General features: G+C 36.7%; 1 protein-coding gene across 8 annotated transcripts in view; it reads left to right on the top strand.

Moving 5' to 3' along the window:
• PARD3 (par-3 family cell polarity regulator) overlaps positions 1-22127 on the top strand; it is a 705736-nt gene that overhangs the window by 521546 nt on the left and 162063 nt on the right. For 5 of the 8 annotated variants that reach the window (NM_001184790.2, NM_001184788.2, NM_001184786.2 and 2 more), the window contains one exon: positions 9506-9616. The exons of the other annotated variants lie outside the window; for them this stretch is intronic. In NM_001184790.2, the coding sequence (NP_001171719.1) occupies positions 9506-9616 (111 nt within the window). The remainder of the gene's footprint in view (positions 1-9505; positions 9617-22127) is intronic. 8 annotated transcript variants of the gene reach the window in all.

Genomic DNA, 22127 nt, shown 5'->3' with positions numbered 1-22127 from the left:
AGGCAGCAGTGATAGTATTTTTCATAATCACTCCTTGAGCCAAATGTAATTTGCAATTTGTAGTATTGTATTATGAAACAATAATGCATTAAAATGAACAGCACAAGAATTAGGAATATAGTCATAAAGAAAGGATCCACAGAAGTAGTTGTGTGAAAGACACTCTCCAAATCATTTTAAGTGGACATGACCGATTTCAATGCCAAATTAAGCATTTAGAAAAATCAGAATTCTGTGCTTTTACTATATTTAAAGTATATATATAGTATGTTTGTATATATTTTATAATAACGTCAATTTAGTTGGGAGAAACAGAAATATAATGTGATTATTATTTGCATTTGGGTATTTGGGGTTATGGGGTTAGTGTGGTTTGATTACCTGGGTAGGTATAATTTGAAAAAAATAAAGTGCATCAAGCCAAGGTATATCTTTTGCAAAGAGGGAATATTTTGCCGCAGAAATTATGTCTTCTTGTCTATCAGCTAGTTGATGTCCAAAAAGCTTCAGCATCATAATTAAGATATGCTTTCACTCATCTTCTTTCATTTTACTAGAATGGCTGTAAGTATAGATTATATGTATTATTTCAGTGATTTGTGTATTTATCTTGTGTTTTGAAGGATTACTGTGTTTGCTTTTATTTCTCTTAAATCTTTATATTTGAGTCCCACAGTTTTTTGTTTATTTGTTTGATTTTTAGATCTGTGGAGTTTGTGGTGATTCTTGTAAAGTCAAAATTGATTTTGTGCTCGGTTCCCTTTGTCCCCCCTATTTCCAATTCCTCATCTATTGCTTTAATATTTCCTTGTTCCATATGGTTCTAGGACTTCTGAAGTGTCAGGTTACGAGGCATATCAGTGCATCCTTGATTAGCTAACACAGGCTATGCTGGAGTAGGAGTGCACTTATAAGGACATTTAATGGGAGTCCTGAAAGGGATATGTTATTCATTAAGGTTGCATTGCACATTTAAAGATTGTTCTAGCTTGGTTAAGTAGAAGGTGCTTTTTCTTTAAAAAAAAAAATAATAATAATAAAGTTACCTCTTTTTCCCAAGATGCCAAGCAATACAAATTTATTTTATTTAAATCTAATCAGATTGGCACTGATGAAAAGTACACAATCAAATAATTATTCTCAAGTTTGTGAATTTCCTTTTAAAGAGAACCTCTGCCAAACTCCACCAACTTAAAACAGCATCCTGTCTTACAAAAGCGCTATCAAGTTGTCACGTACCCTTTCTAAGGCTCCTCTCTCATCATTGTTGATTACCAAGATGCTTTTTTGCCTAAATAGGAGCTTTCTGCTTTTCATAATCAACCTCCTCTTCGCTGATTCATCCAGCATTGCCACAATCTACTGCTGAGCAAATCAGTACTCTTTCATGGTAGCGATTTCTTAAAATGACACTAAAATATGTAAGATCCTGTACAGGAAGGACATATTAGAAGTGACTTATTTTCTTTTCCTTTTTCCCATTTGTAAAATGGAGGCTGAGGTACAAAAAATGTGGCCAGAATCCATGAGCATGTCATTACAAATGATAACTGCATGCAGTGAATTCCTTGTTATTTTACCCTCTGAATGGGTTTGGGCAGTTTGACGTGCTTCTGCTGTTGCCTGACAGTATTTGCATATGTCAGCACAGATGATTTTGACATTTGGAGTGTCACTGCATTTAGAAAGGTTGGCAGGATCCTGTGAATGGGTATGTGGGCAGTTTTTCTGATCTTTTGCAATGATTAGGAGCAGTTCCTGACCTTGCCTTCAAATCCCTGGCCTTCCGAGATAAGTTCTATTCAGGAACAATGTCCTTTGGACCTAATTTCCACCGGCAATGCAAGATTTACTCATTGATTGATGGTGGAGAGGGTAGCCTCGCTCTGTTGCCCAAGCTGGTCTCGAATCCCTGGCTTCAAGTGATCCTCCTGCCTTGGCCTCGCAAAGTGTTGGGATTACAGGCATGAGCCAGTGCACCCAGTTCTATCTCATGTATTTAAACATAGATTTATTAACCAGCTACTTTCAGTATGAGAGCACAGAGTCACTGTCTTTGGTTCCTAAAGCTTATGAGGTGTCTGGCTGTGGTAAAAAGTGTCTTGGGTATGAATTCTAGCTTTGCTACTCACTCACTATATGACCTAACAAATCCTTCAAGCCCCTGTGCTTACTGAGGTTTCCCCTAAGCATGAGGATGATAACACCTGTCTTGCATGCTGGTTGTGGGAATCAATGAGATAAAAGCACATAATAAGAATTCAATAAATTCTAGCTAAGTGTAATTAAATAATCAAAAGAACATTCAACAAGTGCATAATTATGTCTCACTTAGGAATTACACAAAGTGAACTTCATAGGTCTTGGAATTTCATTTTCTCTTAGGCATATCCAAGTTCAGACCAATTAAGACCTTTTAAACTAGCTACAAGCTGAACTGAACCCTTGTCCTAGCTTGCAGTGGGATTTTTAATCTTTGATTTTCAGAAACATGTGGACATACATCTTCAGTGCATATGGACAAGAGTGTAGTAGGACAATCTACAAAGATATATGGCTAGATTTTTTTTCCTTTGAATAAAATCTATAGCAATTACCTATTAGGACTTTAAGCAAAAGTAAGTTTGTTATTGTGTTAGAGACCAGGGTAATTGGTTGAGGGAAGTTAGTTCTGCACCAAGAATGTGGAAAAAGCACAAGAATCAATTAAAAGTTTCCCAGAGAAACTTGGATCAAAAACCATTTAGGTGATGTATGACTCAGAGGAATAGAGGAATGATATGAAAAGTTCATGGGTTTGTTTTGATTTGAGTGAATAATGTGCTCTGGACTATGCAGAGAACTGGATTGAGACACAGGAATGACACAGGACAGGGTATGTGCTTTTGCTGTACAGGATCTTGAGGCCAGCTCATTGGGCAGCTGGTATCTCTCAAGGATCTTTAGGACAAATGACAGCATTACCACAGCTGGCCATGGTCAAAGACAGGTTATGCAATGGCTGTACAAACACATGGTCTTCAAAAACATCAGGAAAGTTCCAGAAAGAAAAAATGAATTCCTGAAGAAAGGGACAGAATGGATCATGTGATAGTGCAAATATGTAGAAATGAGGGTCAGACACAAGGCAGAATACTGAACTAGTGACTATATTGACCACGCCAGGGCAGGAGTTGGGCATTTGCAGAGGATATGTGGCTTCTGGTAGCTGACATTGAACTCATATTTGATTCATTTTAAATTCTCTTCCCCAGCCAAGCAGTATCACATAACCTACAAATTTCTTTGGGTAAATAGACATGCGGTGTAGCAAAGACTTCTTAGACATGAAGACCTAGGTAATTAGCAGTGAGAAATAACAGATTTCTAGGTGACATTTCAGTGGGGTGTTTTGAAGAAAAACTTATTTTAAAGACTATTGCTAAACCTTACAAGATAATTGGTTCCGGATATTCTGTTCATCTATTTTTAAATATGGCAGCAGATTTTTAAGACTTTTTTAAAAACACTGTATCATGTTTCAAAGTATGGTATTAGGAAAAACACATTCATTACAAAATTAATTGTATTTTTATTTATCGCAGGATGCTATGCATTATTATTCCGTGTAATTTTTTTCTAAAGACCTCTAATTTTGGTAGCAGCAGAAATATTACTATTTAAATAGTAAAATATTTCAATAGTATTCATACTGCAGAGAGAATTATGTTGCTTTGCTGAAAACCCAAATGATGGTTTTAATAGCAAGGAAACTTGCCAGTAGTTACTTTTCAATGACACTTATTTCATTATAAAAACAGTAGAATTTGTTGTCATCCTTTGTTGTCATTTTGTTTGCTTTTTGCTATCCCCATTCATCCTCCAGTTCAGGTTTTGTCCATCATTGTTGACTGTAATGGTACATATGGCTGATCTGGCAGACAGCAGTGATCTCATTTGTAACGCATTATTGTAAAACCCATTTAGCAGATTAGTTTGAGATTACGTTAGCTGAATGAAGACATTGCTGTGTCCTTTATGAAGAAAGCCATACATTTAAGACATGTTAGAATCAATTCTGCTCTGAATAAGACAGGATTAGCTCACTGCATCTTTCTGTGAAGGAGTTTCTGGTGGAGTGTGGCATTTTTAAAAGTGTACCTTCACTCCTAATGCAGCACTACCTCTAAGCAACTAAGCAATTTTTCATTTATCTCAACATTTTAAAGGTATTTTCTTTTTATCCCTCTACTTATTATTATTATTATTATTATTAAGATCTGGCCAGATGCAGTGGCTCACGCCTGTAGTCCCAGCACTTTGGGAATCTGGTGCGGGTGGATCCCTTGAGGCCAGGAGTTTGAGACCAGCCTGGCCAACATGGCGAAACCCCGCCTCTACTGAAAATGCAAAAATTAGCCAGGTGTGGTGGCGCACGACTGTAGTCCTAGCTCCTTGGGAGGCTGAGGCAGGAGAATCACTTGAACCTGGGAGGCGGAGGTTGCAGTGAGCTGAGATTGCGCCACTGCACTCTAGCCTGGGCAACAGAGCAAGCCTATGTCCCCCAACACCCTCCCCTCAAAAAAAGACCCGCAGGGACAATATGGGAAACCGCATCTCTACCAACAAAAATACAAAAATTAGCTGAGCATGGTAGGTACCATGCACCTGTAGTCCCAGCTACTCAGGAGGCTGAGGTGGGAAGAAGGCATGAGCCCAGGAGGTTGCAGTGAGCTGAGATTGGATTGCACCACTGCACTCCAGCCCGGGTGACAGAGTGAGACCCTGTCTCCAAAAAAGAAGGTCGTTCTTCTATTTTAATATGACTTAAGGCATGACTAGCAAATTCTTCCTGAGGTACCAGTGTAGGTGGCCACTTTACCTTTCAGCCTGACACCTGCTGGGTAGTAAAGTTTTCTCTTTGAACGTTTGTGTGAGTCAGAGCAGATTGCAAAACTCTGATTCTGTGCTGAGAATGGGTTTGGTCCTGGAGCAACTATTAACACAGTATTTCTTCAGCTATGCTGTTTCTTGGAAGGTGGCTCATCTGACATTCATCCATGGCTTTTAAAAGATAACATACAAATAATTGATATCTTCCAGGTTTTTGAGCATTTTGCTATTAAGTGATTGTCTTCATAGGTTGATTGCCAATTTCAGCTGTGAAACTGTCTTTGCGAGTATATGTATAGGTGAAATTTTTCAATGACTCCCTCCCCTTTTCAGGAATTAAGCAACTATAAATTAGGAAGTACAGTAATATTGGCTATTAGGGTGAATATGGGTATAGATACTTTTTTTTCTTTTTTACATTTTAGAATGGCTAGTGTATTTTTTATTTACAGTTGATTTCATTTGTCAGAATATTACAGCTGTGAGTGATCCATTTTTGTCCCAATTATAAAGTAATATGCTGTGATTTTATAGTATACCTTAAAGAAATCACATAATTTATTAACTAAAGCAATTACTAAAAGAAATGTCCAATTCTGACCTATAAACGTTTTACATATGGTTTCTTTAATTTTCATACATTCATCTTGAATCTGTATTCTTTTTTTGAGACAAGGTCTTACTCTGTCACCCAGGCTGGAGTGCAGTGGCACAATCATGGATCACTGCAGCCTCCATCTCCTGGGCTCAAGCAGTCCTTACACCTCAGCCCCTTGAGTAGCTGAGACTACAGGTGTGTACCACCACACCCAGCTAATTTTTGTATTGTTAGTAGAGACGGGGTTTCATCATGTTGACCAGGCTGGTCTTGAACTCCTGACCTTAAGTGATCTGTCCACGGCGACCTCCCAAAATGCTGGGATTGCAGGCATGAGCCACTGCACCTGGCCAAATCTATACTCTTAAAAAAGGAAAGTGCGTTATAACAGTTTGGTAATACATTTACAAAAAATAGTTATTCCAGTGATTAGGGGGTGGTCTAGGAAACTAATTAATATTTTAATACCAAACACAGTGGGAAAATATGCAATCCTTAGGTATGAATCAGGAACCTACTCTTTAAAAAATGTCATACGTACTTAAGAGAAAAAGATGAAGGTTGATTGACTGAGTTCATATATATATGAGACTATGTGGGCAAACTGAAACCTTCTTAACAATGTAGGACCAATACCATTTTCTACAAAGATTTTAACATAGCTAATTAACTCAACATTAGCTTTTGGCTGAAAATATCTACACTGTTTTAAAACTTGCAAAATCAACCAATCTAAATCTTTCCTCACCATTACTAAAGGAGCATATGTACACTATTTCTTAAAGACTAAACTGTACCTTTTGGTACAGATAGAGAGTAGATTGTTCTCGGTGTCACAGCATGGTGTTTCTCAATTATGGTGCAGAGTTGTATTTCTATCTTTTGGGATGTAGGAATGTGAGCCAGCACAATGTCTTAAAAATCAGTAAGTCAACATGGCAACATTGTATCATTTGAAAGATTTATGAACAGAAACACTAAATGGTTCAAATGGTTTACCTTCGGAATACCTCATTATAAGTAAAATGATGTATTAAAATTTGAACTTATACTTTTCTGGAAGTTAGGATTTGTACATCTTATACTTGGAGATGCCTCAGTGTTGCAGAACTTCCAGGATGAAGTGAATGCCCTGGCTTTAAATGCTGTCTGCTGACACTCAGATTAATCCATCCCGCCTTATGCTGTCCCTTGAATTTTTGCCGTTATGATATCTTCACCCCCAAGTCCTCCAAACCTTTTCCTTCCCTGGCCCTGTATATCTTGCTGGACGGTAACTCCTTTCTTCCAGTTGCTTGGCTAAAACCCTGGAATCATCAGTGACTCTCTTTCCCTAACGTCCATGACCTCCCCATCAGCAAATTTTATTGGTGCTGCTGTGAAAATATGTCCAGAAACTAAGCACTTCTCTCACTGTCCTCCATTACCAGCTGGTTCATCACCATAGCCTCCTGACCGTTCTCCCTGGTTTCACCTTTTCACCTGCAGTTCTTCACATGCATCCAGGGTCATTAAAATGTCACCAGTGCTGCTCCTCTGTTCCAAATCCTTCAGTGGCTTTTCATGTCATCTCAGTAAAATCCAAAATCCATGTGGTCTGCCCCCTGATGCTGCTCTTCTTCATTTCCTGCTGCCTTCTCTTTTTCTCTCCCATTCTAGCCCTATCACTGGAATAGGCAAGAATGGCCCTTGCCATTCCTCAAAGACACTCAGCCTGCCTGTGTCTCAGGGCCTTGGCACTTGCCTGCTCCTCTGCCTTGCTGACTCATGCCAATGTGGCTGGCTCCCTCTAGCTCAGATCTCTGCTCACATGTCGACTTAGGAGAGAGGCCATCACCCTCCCCGTCAGTCCTGGTCTCCTTACTCTGCTTTGCTTTCCCCCTTAGCACTGTGCAGTCTGATGTTGTTATATGCTAATTCGTTACCTGAGTATAAGCAGTAGAAGCTCTATGGCAGTTGAAATGACCTAATGTGCTCTGTTTACTGTTTATAGCCTGGGTGTCCCAAATAAGCCCTGACTGCATGGTAGATGCTCAGTACATTTTTGTCTGATGAATGAGTGTGAAGTTTTAGTTGTTGACTTCTCCTGAGATGTATCAGTTTTTAATATTTTTTCATTTATTCATTCATTCTGTAAAGCCCATCATTATGTGTAATTCTGAGGCATTATTGATATATTGACAAAAATAGTGCAAAGTCTTTTATTTTTAATGTTTTGTATTTATTAGTTTTAAATGCATAGCATGTATTTTATACCTTGTGAAATGTGGTCAGATTCTGGATTTCAGTTCTGGAGAATTTTCTATTTTTCTTTTTTGCAACTGCAGTGATCAAAAATTTAATTTTAAGGATAGATTTGCTTTATAAAGTTAATTTACAGTCAGTTTTTGATTACTGTATAATAATATATGTAATTTTTAAAGTAGTGGTGGTGGTGTTTTACCTTTTTTCTGTTTTAACATTTTAAGAATACTTTCCTTTCCATATTTAGAGACCCCTTTCAAACATAGTGTTACTTTAATCAACAGATGAGATATGCCCACATATACTTTAATTCATATGTAGACAAGTATTGGAAATCAGATTTGTATTAATAAAAAAATCAATGCTATCAACCAAGCCATTAATAGAAATAATTTTTTCTCTTTTATGTCAACTTTGGGACCCTTTTCTCCTCTCTGTTTCTTTCTTTCTTTTTTTTTTTTGAAATAAGGTCTCCCTCTTTTTCCCAGGCTGGAGCACAGTGGCGCAATCACAGTTCACACAGCTTCGAACTCCCAGGCTCAAGCCATCCTTCTGCCTCAGCCTCTGGAGTAGCTGGGATTACAGGTGCACACCACCACACCTGGCTGATTGTTTTGGTATTTAGTAGAGACGAGGTCTCGCTATGTTGCCCAGGCTGGTCTTGAACTCCTGAGCTCAAGCAGTCCTTCTGCCTCAGCCTCCCAAAGCCTCAGCCTCCCAAAGTGCTAGAATTACAGGCGTGAACCACTGGGCCTGACCCTCTTTTTCGATATGAAATTGTCACAGTACGCCAGATTGATGTTATTCTTCAGAAAGAAATACTCAATATACTTTAATTATTTCTGAATGCTTAGTTGTGTGACTGTCTATAAAATATTTCTTTTTTGAAACATCTGGTGACCAGTGCATTACAGACAAAGATTGCTTATGGATATAGAGTGCATGCATTCCAGGCAATATGGTCTTTTATAGAGAAAAATAACAGAGCAGGGAAAGGAATTGATACCAAGTTTGAGTATCAAACTGGGATATTTTGGATGCCAGAAGAGAATAATGTTAGTGTTTTCTTAAAGAGCTCAGCACCCATCTGCAGAAACTTGTGTGGACTGTTTTTCAATAATGGGTTTGTTCCGTGTGTTTGTTTTTGATCAGATGTGGATTTATAAGTCATAGATGCCACATTCAGCAATTGCTTTTTATCACATTTAGGAGAGTATTTGATGAGAATACCTTAAACCTTTCAATTTAATTAAAGTGCAGTGTAAATGATCTGTTGTACTTTAAACCTTGCAAACATGGCCTTTGTCAGTTTTTAAACTATGATGAATGTTTCCAATAAGCCTGGCTGTGAAAATAAAGAATAGTTGTTTATGGAAAGATTATTAACTAGATGATTGTGGATTATCATTCTTTAGTCCTAAGAAAAACCCACTCCAATGCAGATCTTTCTTCCTCTAGCATCTAAAGTATTCAGCACTTAGTCCTACAGATGTATTAATTGTTTAATAAGGATAAACCACAACTCTTGTTGTTTGTTTTTGTTTTGCTAAAGGAAAAACTGCTATTGAGATCATTTCCCTCAAGAGTTTTCTCTGGGAAGTTCTAATTAAAAATGAATAAAATAATCTGATTCAAAATACTAGTCCTGACCCAAACTACTGACTGCAGAAGACACCTGATCCCTGTTTTGAAGAAGCTAACATTCATTTCATTGGGTATATGTCATTACCACAAACAAAAGAAAGCTCATTTTGTATATATTGACAAGTTAGAATTTTTTGTTATTAACAGGTTTGGCAAACATCGAAAAGATGACAAGATTGAGAAAACGGGTAAAATAAAAATACAGGAATCCTTTACATCAGAAGAGGAGAGGATACGAATGAAGCAGGAGCAGGAGAGGTAGACTTCAGTTACTTGATTAAACCTCCTTAGAAAGAGGTTCTTTTTTTTTTTCTTTCTACTTTCTTCTTTTTTAATGTAAAGATTTTACATTTAATTACTCTTCATATTTCCTGTATCAACCCAAATATTGATGGTTGTGGGTGAATATATTGTAAAGAGAGATTTAAAAAAAAAAACCTTATATGTATTTGTGACATCAAAGTGGATTTTAATTGCTTTAGTTAAGATCTTTTGCATAGGAAATAGAACAGCATATTAGATGAATAAATAAACATTAATACTGAATTTATGATTTTTTAAAATAACACAAAAAGTACTTAAAATCCTGCCTGATATATGGATATTTAGTATATTATAATAATTTTAAAGAAATACTCTTCTGAAAATAAAACTCCGAAGTTTTATATCACATTTTAAATATAATAAGAATTCAGGAGGCTGTTATTCATTATGTTGTTTTTCTTTCAAACCTGACACTTATTTCTTGATTCTCCTTCTATTTTACCATCTTCACATTTTGTGACATTTTCCACTTAAGTTTTCCATGTCTTCCGGATAGATTGTTACCTATTGTTGAATCATTTCCATGTTGAGAACTTAAAGACCAATGAAAGGAATGAAAAGAGTTACTCTAAGCAGGCACTCGAAAACCGTTTTTCTAAGTGATTAGAATTTTTCTCATTATAATTCCAGGGGGTGAGAAAGCCATCTCACACTTTTGTTATTAGAGTTTACAGGTTCACAGTGAGCTTCTCTCTGTCATCACATTTCATTTTCTGAGCAGCCACAGCTAAGAGGTACTATGCCTGTTTTACTTTGAATAATCTGGGATTTCAGTGAGTTTCTGGTACCTTGATGAAGGTTATAATGCTAAGTACTGTCCATAGCTAGGACTGTAGCCCAGCATCTTTAAGATTAAGCCCAGTATTCCTACCATAATTCTAAAGCTAGGCTGCTTTTACTCTAATACTTAATGAATGAAATAACTAAAAATAGTATCCTACAACAGTTTTATTTAAAAGAGATTAGTGTTTGGGTATTTTTTCATTCATCCTTCTAATACCTCTGAGGTTTTTCTTGAATAGAATGGTTACTCTGAGTCTCTGTAGCTTTTCAGGGTAGAAAATGTATGTGGGAAAAAATATGGATTTTAAATTTATGAAGCAAGACGGCTGGTTCCTCCTCAATTTTTATTTTTAAAAAATCATTTCACCTTGCTTTGTAGGACTCTTTCTAATCCTCATCAATTTTGGGATTCCCAAACTTATTAGTAAATTCACTATTTTTGGGTTTGGGTGCATAGTGTTCCTTAGTGTGTGTGCCATAGCATTTAGTGACTCAGAAGTATAAACTTCTATCCTAGAAGAGTTTCTTCTCCCTAAAGGAGGAGACTATACCAGGTAAATGTGTGAACTCAGATTCATCCACAGGCAAATATGTAATTTACTTAGAGAGTAATCTGAGCGACAGAAACATTATACCTCCCCTATATCTTGATACCTGCCACAGGGGATAGATAGCTTCATTAATCCTGTACTATTTTTCATCTTCTAAACATTTCTTCCTTGCAGTTTAAGGTGACTGCTATGTTTCCATGCAGAATTCTATCAACATTTTCCAAAATACTTTTATGATGCTTAGTCAAATATTTCCAGCCAAACAATGATTTTTACATAATGGTTTCACTTGTATTATTAATTTGCCTAAGGCACAGTTCACTTCTCAGTTTTGCTTTTAATTTCCATCTCTGTACCTCTAATGATGCAATACTTCTGGGAACTAGGTTGATCATAATGAATTTACAATGTACAGGAGGCCTAAAATAAAAATCTTTCAGGGTCAAGGAATAAGTGAATGGTCCATTAAAAAGTCAATTAGGCTCATAATTTAAGAAAATTATTATACTTTGACTTTGTATTTCAATAACAACTTTTTGCAAGTATGTTTTATTTAAACTTATGGATTTTGTAATAGAGCAAGTGAATGCAAGAAACGGACTGAACTAGGAGGTGGAGTAGGTTTGGCACTTGTATTTTAATAGGGCAAGCATTCTTCCATATGTCGTTCTTTCTGTTCTGTCTGTGGTATTGGCAGTGTTCTTTTTGAGAATGGAAACTGCAGCTTCCTTGAAAAAATTTTGACTGGAGTAATCAATAAAAATAAATAAACCACTACTTATATTCTCCTTACAACCTTTCCCTCACTGCTGACTAGTAGTGAAATACCTCTCGGGATATTATTTACCACTGTAGCTATTTGAATTCCAAAAATTATTTTGGCTAATTCCATATAAAAATAGAAAACCCAACATTCCCCCATGAGTTATGATTGTCCACAAACCAGAACTTTTTTTGCCTGTGTACATCTGGGAATCTTGAATATTGCTCAAGATATAAATATTGAAAAACTAAAAGGGCTATGAATATAATTTTAAATGTTTTTTCTTCAATGTTAAGATCTATTTAGATGGTGACAATATACTAGATTGTTCTGAGCCGGGTCCAAGATTAAGTTTGACTTCATTCTTGCTAACTTCCTTCCCTTTCTGTCACTTGCTACCAACACTGTGAGGTTGGGTCTTGAGTAAATGCCATCCATATGGGAGAAATGGACTAGGAAGATCACTGTATGGATCTGTGCTCTGCTCTACTAGCCCTGCCCTGCCTCAGACTAGAGCCTCCATGAGTATGGTCTTCTTGAGAAGCGGGGAGTCTGGGCGTGATACCAAGGGGGAAGTTAACAGGTTTTCCGACATGCTATTTTTGACTTCTCATTCTGGAGCACTGAACCTAGGTACCCTATTTTTTCAGAGATGCTGTTGGCTACATTGGAGACAGACTGAGAAACTAAGCAAAAATGTGAATTCAGTGCTTCGTGCCTCTGACTTGTGTTTCAGGCATGCCTAGGGACAGCGCCTCTACTGGCTCATTTCCACCACATGAAAGGTTTAGGCTCCAAACTCAAAACAGAACATGTTCCAATTAAGTGATCTACGTAACTTCAGGTCTACTTAGCCTCCCATACAAAGCCCCGTGATAGATTTCTCTGTCGACCAAGCATCACACGTTGGCTTTCTGTTGTTTTTGCTCCAGTGATACCTCCATGTATTTTTAAATGGTAGTATATACACTATGTGGTACAGGATTGCCCAGTGTTCAGCAGCAGAGAATGTGTTCTGTTTACAAGTATGTTTGAGAAACACTTGTTTAAACCAGTATATGCGTATCTTTCTACTCTGTTATTTCTCAAAATTCTACCAAGTTCATGTGCATTATGAGTCACCAAGATAGGAACAGAGAGTCACCATTCTCCAAACTTATTTATTCTCAAAACATCCTCTCAACCCCTCACTTTTTGCTTTTCCTGGAATACTGACATCCCACAACATTCTGAGTCACTGGGGAAATACCAAGGGCAAGTAAAGACCGTTGACTCCTGGTTCAGCGGTGTTCAGCTTACTCCTCTAACTGGCTGTGGAAACCGGAGTTGATTGTTTTCCAGAACTGCGAGCAAGTTTAAAGCAGTGTTGTAACCTGTCTCTACTTTCTGGCTTCTGTTTTGTGGACTTATGAAAGTGCGTGCTTACCACTGCTCCTCCTTTTTCAGTTTTCTCTTTCCCACCTTTCTCACTTGTTTAAAAAATGTACCTTTTTAAGCTCTAGTTCTAAGTTTATTCTAATACTAAAAACTACAGAAAAATTTGGGAGAAACCCATAAAATTACAATCAGAAAACAAAAATTTATCTGTATTAACACACTGTTAACATACTGGTCTGTGCTAATCATTTTTTTTCCTATAAAGTACACATTTTCCACACCTATGTACTTTTAAGAAGTTGACATCTATTTTCATTTTTATTTATTTTGCATTTTTATGCATTCTTAGAAAATCATATTAAATGTTTTCTGGATCACGGTCAGGTCTGTGTGAACAGACAAATGGGAAAGAGGGACAGAAAGAAGGAAAGATGTTCTGAAACATGAAATATTAGCTATGATATCTGGCCAAATTTCCCAACTCTCAAATAATATTCTCCTCATGTTATTCATTCTATTAAATGAGGTTTATAATGTTAGCTGGCTTGTATTTTGTAGTTATTCAGCCATTGAAAGCTATTACAATATTATTATCTATATCTGCATAGTAAGTTGTGCTTGGGAACATTTCCAGGGATACTGAATGCTTCTAGTGGAAATATGTAAAAGTTAATTAATTTCTTATTAAATCCTCCCAGTATAGAAGGAATATTTATAAATCTCCTTAGGAAACAGATGATCTGAAACTTTCCATTATTCAATGTTCTAATCATCTTTCAAAGCCTTGTGTTTTCAATACCAGACCGTTGAACTATCTGTGTCCTTCAGTGGGATACTCCCCATTCTTGGTGTGTCATTTTGCAAGTTTATGTGGATTTTCTGCATGCCGTTTCCTCTCTTTCTAATTTTACCAGCTGTTCTCAGTAATACCTGCTTTGGGTAATTACTTGAACTTTTTGTCATCTCAGTTGGTAGGATCCTTTTCAGCAAGTGATACATGTTTGTTTTCCTAACACTAATCTTTGCATTTAGATCACTTATTGTCATGCAAAGATTGTCTTTTAAAAATTAACCTTTTAAGAGAAACATTTTTTCTATCCTGTAGCAGCATTTTTCATGTTTCTTTGACCTCGTGAATCCTTTAGAAAAGTCAATTCTAATCAATAGGCTAAGTTTCAAGTTTTTTTAAAAAAATTTTCATTGCACAGGTAAATGAGAATTTTTAAGAATCTGTTAACCTGCTTTGTAGAACTTAACTATTTCGATAAATACTTGATTGGGTGTGTTGGCTCACACCTGTAATCCTAACACTTTGTAATCCTAACACTTTAGCAAGAGCATCACTTCAGCCCAGGAGTTCGAGGCTGCAGTGAGCTGCTGTGGTTGTGCCACTGCCCTCCAGCTTTTGTGACAGAGTGAGAGCTTGTCTCTAAAAAAAAAAAAAAAAAAAAAAGGAAAAAATATAGATGAATACTTGAGGAAAATTAAGCGTTAGGCATACTATATATCTGAAACCGATTTTATTGACAGATACTGCAAATGAAGTAGGAAAATGCAGTTTGCTTTCTGATGAGAGCTGTCCTAGATATATTTGGCTTAAGAGCATCTCTCTGCATTGGCAATAATTGTAGGTGCTTTAATATCCATGAAAGCCTGAACATTACTTGAGTGAGTATCTGTTGAGATGTGTTTGTGTCTGTTGGTTAGGGAAATATTATTCTAGTGTTTTATTAGTCAGTATAAGACAACTGGTTTTGTTGTTTCACAATATATTAAGTGTATCAGACAGTATATTAGTCTGTTCTCATGCTGCTATAAGGACATACTCGAGACTGGGTAATTTATAAAGTAAAGAGGTCTAATTGACTCAGTTCCACAGGGCTAAGGAGGCCTCAGGAAACTTACAATCATGGCAGAATGGGAAGCAAACACGTCCTTCTTCACGTGGCGGGAGAAAAGAGAAGAATGAGAGCCCAGCAAAGGGGGATGCCCCTTATAAAACCATCAGATTTTGTGAGATCTAAGTCACTATCACAAGAACAGGAGGGGGAAACCGCCCCCATGATTCAATTATCTCCACCTGGTTCCTCCCATGACACGTGGGGATTATGGGAACTACAATTCACAATGAGATTTGGGTGGGAACACAGCCAAACCATATCAGATAGTATAAGTCTTTTTAAAATTACTATTTTAAAATGTTTTTTCCCTCTCAGGGATCCCTTACCTTTGTTAAGAGAAAAAGATTTAAGCATGTTAACATTAAAAAATTGATGTAAGGCTGCTCAGAAGGCTGAGGTGGTAGGATCACTTGAGGCCAGGAGTTCGATACCAGCCTGGGCAACATAGCAAGACTCTGTCCCTAAAAATATTTTTTTTAATTAGCAGGGCATGGTGGTATGCACCTGTAGTCCCAGACACTCAGGAGGCTGGTGTGGGAGGATGTCTTGAGCCCAGGAGTTCAAGGCTGAAGTGAGCTATGATTATACTACTGCACTCCAGCCTGGGCAACAGAGTAAGACCCCTGTCTCTGGGCAGGGGGAAAAGACAATATAATCAATTGTTAAAATAGATGATTACAGAGCTTTGGGAAGGGGAACGACCAGTGGGGCTGGAGTTAGTAGTGACTGCTTCATAGAGATGATAGTTTGGGAGCTAGATCTTATTCCCAAGAATATGTATAATTTAGCAAACTAGAAAAATTCTACCCTCACTTTCAGTCTCTCTCCCCCTAAGCACAAAGGCTTATGGAAAGTGGGCAGTCTTTTAACTGCCTGGATTCTTTACAAGTTGTGATTGTATTAGTGGTTAGCAGTCTCCCTGTTAATGCTTTCTTTTATCTCTTTTTCAACTTTTAACCGTTTTGTATTTTAAAACCAGTTTCATCTCATTTTAGCATTGAGGGATGCAAGTTAACTTTCCCTCCCAGCTATTCTAAGGGACCACTATATATTTCAGCAACTTGCATTCTTCCCTGGAATTGGAAATGTACCTTTAAAACAGTTGTTTTCACTCAAGAAAATTTTTTTCAGGGCTCATTTAGAATATGGAAGTCCTTTCTTCTCAATCAACTTTTACCCTAATATGACAAAGATATTAAAATCCCACTTAAAATTGGAACTGTTACCAGGGTAAGAAATTTAGTGGAATAGTATCTCTCTTTTGGGAATTCAGCATAGGCACCAAACTGGCAGCTTACCTACTGTTAGGGGGCAGTTGTTAGATTCACCTGGCAGGGGGAGGATCACCCAAAGGAAGGATGAGTTGAGCTGCAGTATTTTTGAAGTCTGCCATCTGCTGAAGTACTCTGAGGGCCCAATAAAGCCTTCCATGGTGGACTAAAACTGCTTTCTCAACAGACGGTTCTTTCCAGTTGTTTTGTAGCTTAAATTTCATTTCGCCATGAATTTGGGTTTTATTTGATCAATTTCTGTAATACTGACTTTTTGAGAGAAGAAATACTGTTGGAAAAAGATCCACGAACTGTTGTTCCCAGAATGAGGCTTCTGGATGGCAGTGCAGTAAGTTGGGGGTAAAATGTTTCCCAAAAGAGTTGATTGCAAGATCCTGAACATTGTTTTGAAGATAGTCAACAACTATCTGATATGTAGCAATCTGAAATTTATTAAAAACATTTTTTCTGTTAAACTAATATTAGTATATTCTATCTTCTGCAGACATAACTTTTTAAATTAAAAATCGTTAAAAGACAGTTTCTATTTCTTGTAGTCTTTAAAAAAATACAACATGTAAAAAGAGATGTGTTGCAGCATCATAGCTTTGGAAATGGAGGTATTTGGTATGTAACTGAGAGGTTTAAGGACACCACTGGTTTTGCATCCCAAGGAGTTTGGAAATGAAAGTATTTAGTATGTAACTGAGAGGTTTAAGGACACCACTGGTTTTCCATCCTAAGGAGTTTGGTCACTTCGGTGGTTATTCCCGTACCTGGTACCTTTTCTGGATATATAAAGACTAGACTTTATGATCATAAAAAGTTCCTTTCATCTTATTCTACTGCAATTAGTGCTAAAAGCCATTTATTGTAAAAGCAAAAATACTAATGAATAGAAATGTTACAAAAACAGAAGTCTTGTGTGTTTTATCTTCATCGAGCGTCATCCATTTTAATTAGAGAAAAGGTGGTGAACACTGTGACAAGAGCCTGGAATTAAAATCATTAATTGATGTCAAGCTGAAGAGAGACTGTTAGCATGAATTTAGTGACAGCAGGAAAGAAATTAACCTTATTACTTTATTTAGTATATTACATTATTTTGTGTATTATTTTCTATGCAGGTTCAAGGCAATTTCATTATCATAATGGAACACTTTATTTTTTTTTTTACAAAAAGGAAAGATGTATTTATGCTTGAACATAACAAGTTGAAATGATAAGTTCTTTATTAAGTTAAAAATGACTTGATAAAAGGTTTTAATTGTTTGAATTTGTTTTTTCAAGTTTCAAGGATAGGAAACAGTATAAATGTTGTCCATCAATGTCGGGTGGTACAACTGCCTGTGATAATCTGAACTTCAGAATAGTTCTTTTTAGAACCAGGAAGGACTTACTGAAATGTTTAAAGCAATAGACATTTATGTCTTTTGCTGGGTTTTGGACTAATCAGTTACTTCTGTCATTGTTGAGGTTTGGCCCGAGATAAATGGGATAGAGAATGCTGAACAACAATCTGACTGTTCAGAAAAATGAGTGACTCTTACATCTTGGAGATAATTTGTGACCTCAGGGTCACAATAAAAGAGTAAAGGGGGTATGCTTTTATAGCCCTGGCCATCTGGATCCATTAAGGGCTCAACTGCAAGATACTCACCATCTTTTCAAAGTTTCCTTAAGAAGTCATGTTATTTTTATGAGGACACCAAACATGTTTTCTTCCTGAGCCAAATATTTTCTTACTGAAATATGTATCTCCACAGAGTGGAAATACATAACATGCAAATATAACCTTTTGGTCGTGTTAGAAAGTTCATATTCTCACTTTGTAACAAGACATTCAAATATCAAAGAATATAATAAATTCATTTGTGTCTTTTGTTAATTTTGCTTGTGAATTGCCACTAAAATTTATGAAAATCACAGTGCATGCTTAGTTTCAAAAGTCTACTCTAAAGTGCTATTTGTACAGCAAGCCTCGTTAGCATTAATTTCTAGAATGAACTTGAGAATGCACATTAGTTCAGGCTACTGACCAGATCCGTTAGCCTTTTGCGGCAGTAGTTCTACCTGGTGGACCACACGTATGCTATAGTTTTATTCTAAGGTTTTCACCACCAGTGTAAGCTGCCACATTGGAAAGCAGTGATGCAGGTTTTAGAACTTTGGGGACAACATTATTGGTGATGACAAGATAAGCAATACAAATACAATTCCTTCATTATTGGAGCCTTGAAAAAAGTCAGTATTTCTGGAAGGTACTACAGATGGGGCTTTAACGTTTATTAGGCTCAGTGACTGGTGGCGATTAGTCATAATGTACAAATTTGGGTAAAAGAAGGCAGCTGAGATCTGGGCTTTATAAATAGTACTTCATGCTGCTGAGCACTTCTTTTGAGAGATTGACTTGTTAGAAATTGACTGCTAATTAATATTATTTTCTGCGTCATTTGGAACAAAAGAATATTCAAATCCAGAACCCATCAGTAATATAATGAAACTGATGTGCAAGAAGTTTGGGGAGATTATTTAGGTTTATGCCTCCCTTGAAAAGAGTGTGTTCCTATTCTCTTTCTGTTAGCTTTCTTTCTTAAGAGGGATGCATTTTCTGATGTAAGTAAGCTGGATTTTTCACTTTTAGTGAATTAAGCTAGATGTATCATAGAGTTTAGTCATTAATAAATCAGTCTGAGTCCTTCTCTTTGATTTTTGGAGGTTCTCCAAATTCAGAAATTTCAGCTTTATATTTATATAATTATACTTAGGTCTGTTGTGTTCCTTCAAACTTCTTCAGTTTGCCAAACTTCAAGACTTATGTGAATGCCTAGTTACCCTGGATATTACCTATGATTAAGTGACTGATGAATGGTGACCAAATATCATAGTATAGTGGGTTGTCAGATAAGTGATCATAATTGAGTTTCAAATTAATATCCCATTGAATGTAAGAAAGAACTCATTTTCCTCTTTCTGCTAGTGATTTCTGGTCAAATCAAGAGTCAAAAAGACATTATGGTGCAAAGAATAAAATTATCTCCTAACTCCTGTCAACCTTCCATTATGGATAGCTAGTATTTAGTGGTAACCAGCTTTTATAATAGCATCCTTAACTGTCATAATTGCTCTTAAATGGATAAATGGCGTAAAAATTTAAAAACTGTCTAGTAGAATTTTAGCTAAATTTGACATTAGAATTTGAGTTGCTGTTTCTCTTGTGGGTATTCTGTCTGTGGAACCTACAGTCTTAGAGTTACTAGGATCTAGAACAGTCCTGATAAAAATTTCTAACTTCCTAATATTCACTTTTGAGTTAAGAAAGTCATTGGTTGTCACCTCAGGAAATAAGGTTCTCCTAGAGAGTTTTGGGGAACATGAGAAGCAGTTTTCGTTGCCCCATTGGGGACACTGCTGGATTACATGTGGCTGTGACCAGTTCTGGTAAAAGTCCTGCTTGATGACAAATAGCCCCTTCTCAAATGTCATTGGGTCCTGTTGAGAAACACTGAGCTAGGTGAATTTATGTACTTTTTATAGCTGGGAGAGAAGAAAAGTCAGACAGATTTGATCCCCTGTATTCAAAATTGGAAACCAAGAGTGGGGTGATGGTGATACACTAGATACAAGAAAGAAACAAGGAAAATGCAAAGTTTGCTTGTAATGCTATGTGACAATTTTCTGTCTTTAAAAAAACTTTTAAGTTTGTAATAATTTTAGATTCATAGGAAGTTATGAATATAGTACAAAGAGGTCCTATGTACCCTTCATCCAGTTTCCCCCAGTGGTTAAGTTAGATAACTGTAGTACAGCATCAAAACCAGGAAATTCGCATTGGTATAGGGTGTGTGTAGTTCTGTGTCATCACCTGTGCACATTAGTGTAGCCACTCCTACAGTAAAGAAACAGAACTATTTCATCACAGAGGTCTTCCTCTGTAGCTAACCCCTAGCCATCACTAACCTGTTCACCAACTCCATACTTTTGTCATTTTGAGAATGCTATATAAGTGAAATCATATATGACCTGTGAGATTGACTGGGGTTTTTTTCACATTGCATGATGCCCTTAAGACAGATTCAAGTTGCTGTATGTATCAGTAGTTTGTTCATTTGTACAGCTGAGTAATGTTCTGTGATATGGACACACCCCAGTTTTTTTGTTTTTTTTGTTTTTAACTATTCACCTATTGTGAGCTATTTTGGGTGTTCCCAATATTTAAATATTACAAATAAGGTAATATTTGGCAATGAACAATTGCATACAGGTTTTTGCTTGGACATAAGTTTTCACAACTTTGGGATACGTACCGGGAGGCACAATTACTGGACAGTATGATAAGTATATGTTTAATTTTTAAAGATACTACCAGGCTATTTTCCAGGGTGACAGTACCATTTTAAATTTCCAACTGCAATATATGAGAAGCCCGGTTTCCCTACATTCATGGCTGCATTTGGTATTGTCACTGTTTTTTATTTTAACCAGTCAGGTGTGTAGTAATAGCTCATCATGGTCTTATTTGCATTTCCCTATTAACTGGTGGTGGCGAACGTCTTTTCACATGCTTGTCATCCATATGTCCTCTTCAGTGAAACATCTTTTCATGTCTTTTGCCATTTTCTAATTGGATTGTTTTCTCATTGTTGAGGTTTCAGGGGTTTGTTTGTTTTTTTGTTTGTTTGATTGTTTGTTTGTTTGAGTCAGGATCTTGCTCTGTCACATAGGCTGGAGTGCAGTGGCACAGTCATGGTTCACTGCAGTCTTGGCCTCCAGGGCCCAGGCAATCCTCTCACCTCAGCTGGGTGGCTGGGATTACAGCTGTGCACCACCATGCCCAGCTAATTTTTGCATTTTTTGTAGAGACAGGGTTTTACTGTGTTGCCTAGGCTGGTCTAGAACTCCTGGGCTCAAGCAGCACGCCCCCATCAGCCTCCTAAAGTGCTGGGATTACAGGTATGAGCCGAGAAGGCTGACTGTTTTAAAAAATATTTCCTGGATATAAGTCCTTTGTCAGATACGTGCCTTGCAAATATTTTTTTCTAGTCTGTACTTATTTTTTCATCTTCTAATTAGAGCTTTTCACAGAGGAAAAGTTTTTTATTTTGATGATGTTCAATGTATATACTTTTAAAGTTTTATGGATAATGGTTTTGGTATTAGTCCTAAAAACCCTTCTCCACGCACTAGTTCCTAAAGAATCCCTTACATTTTTTCTTAAGTTTTATACTTTTACATTTACATTTAAACCTGTGACCCATTTTGAGTTAATTTTTTAGTAAGGTATGAAATTTATTTTTCCTTTTCTTTTTGCCTATGGTTATCTCATGGCTCCTGCACCATTGGTTGAAAAAACTATTTTATTACATTGAATTGTTTTTGCTGCAGCATTGTGTAGTTTTCAACGTATCTATCTTACACAGGTCTACATAAACGAAAGTTTGGCTTATAGATGTGTATCTGTGTGTTTTGTTTCGTTAGGGATTATAAATAGCATTGCATTTTTAATTTCAGTGACTACGTGTTCATTGCCAGCATATGGAGAATACAATGGATTTTTATATGTTGATCTTATATCCTCTGACTTTGTTGAACTTGCTTTTTAGTTCTGGGAGATTTTTGTAGATTCTTTGGAATTTTCTTTGTAGATCATCATGTCATTTGCAAGTAAGAAGCATTTTATTTCTTCCTTTTCCATCTGTGTACTTTTATTTCCTTTTCTAGGCTTATTGCATTGCCTAGAACTTCCAACACTATGTGGAATTACAGTGGTAGGAGCACACATCCTTACTTTATCATAGG

Source organism: Homo sapiens, chromosome 10 (assembly GCF_000001405.40).
Source record: "Homo sapiens chromosome 10, GRCh38.p14 Primary Assembly".
In the NCBI taxonomy this organism is placed as follows: domain Eukaryota; kingdom Metazoa; phylum Chordata; class Mammalia; order Primates; family Hominidae; genus Homo; species Homo sapiens.
Note: the sequence above shows the minus strand (reverse complement) of the source record. Positions and strands in the feature narration are given on the sequence as shown.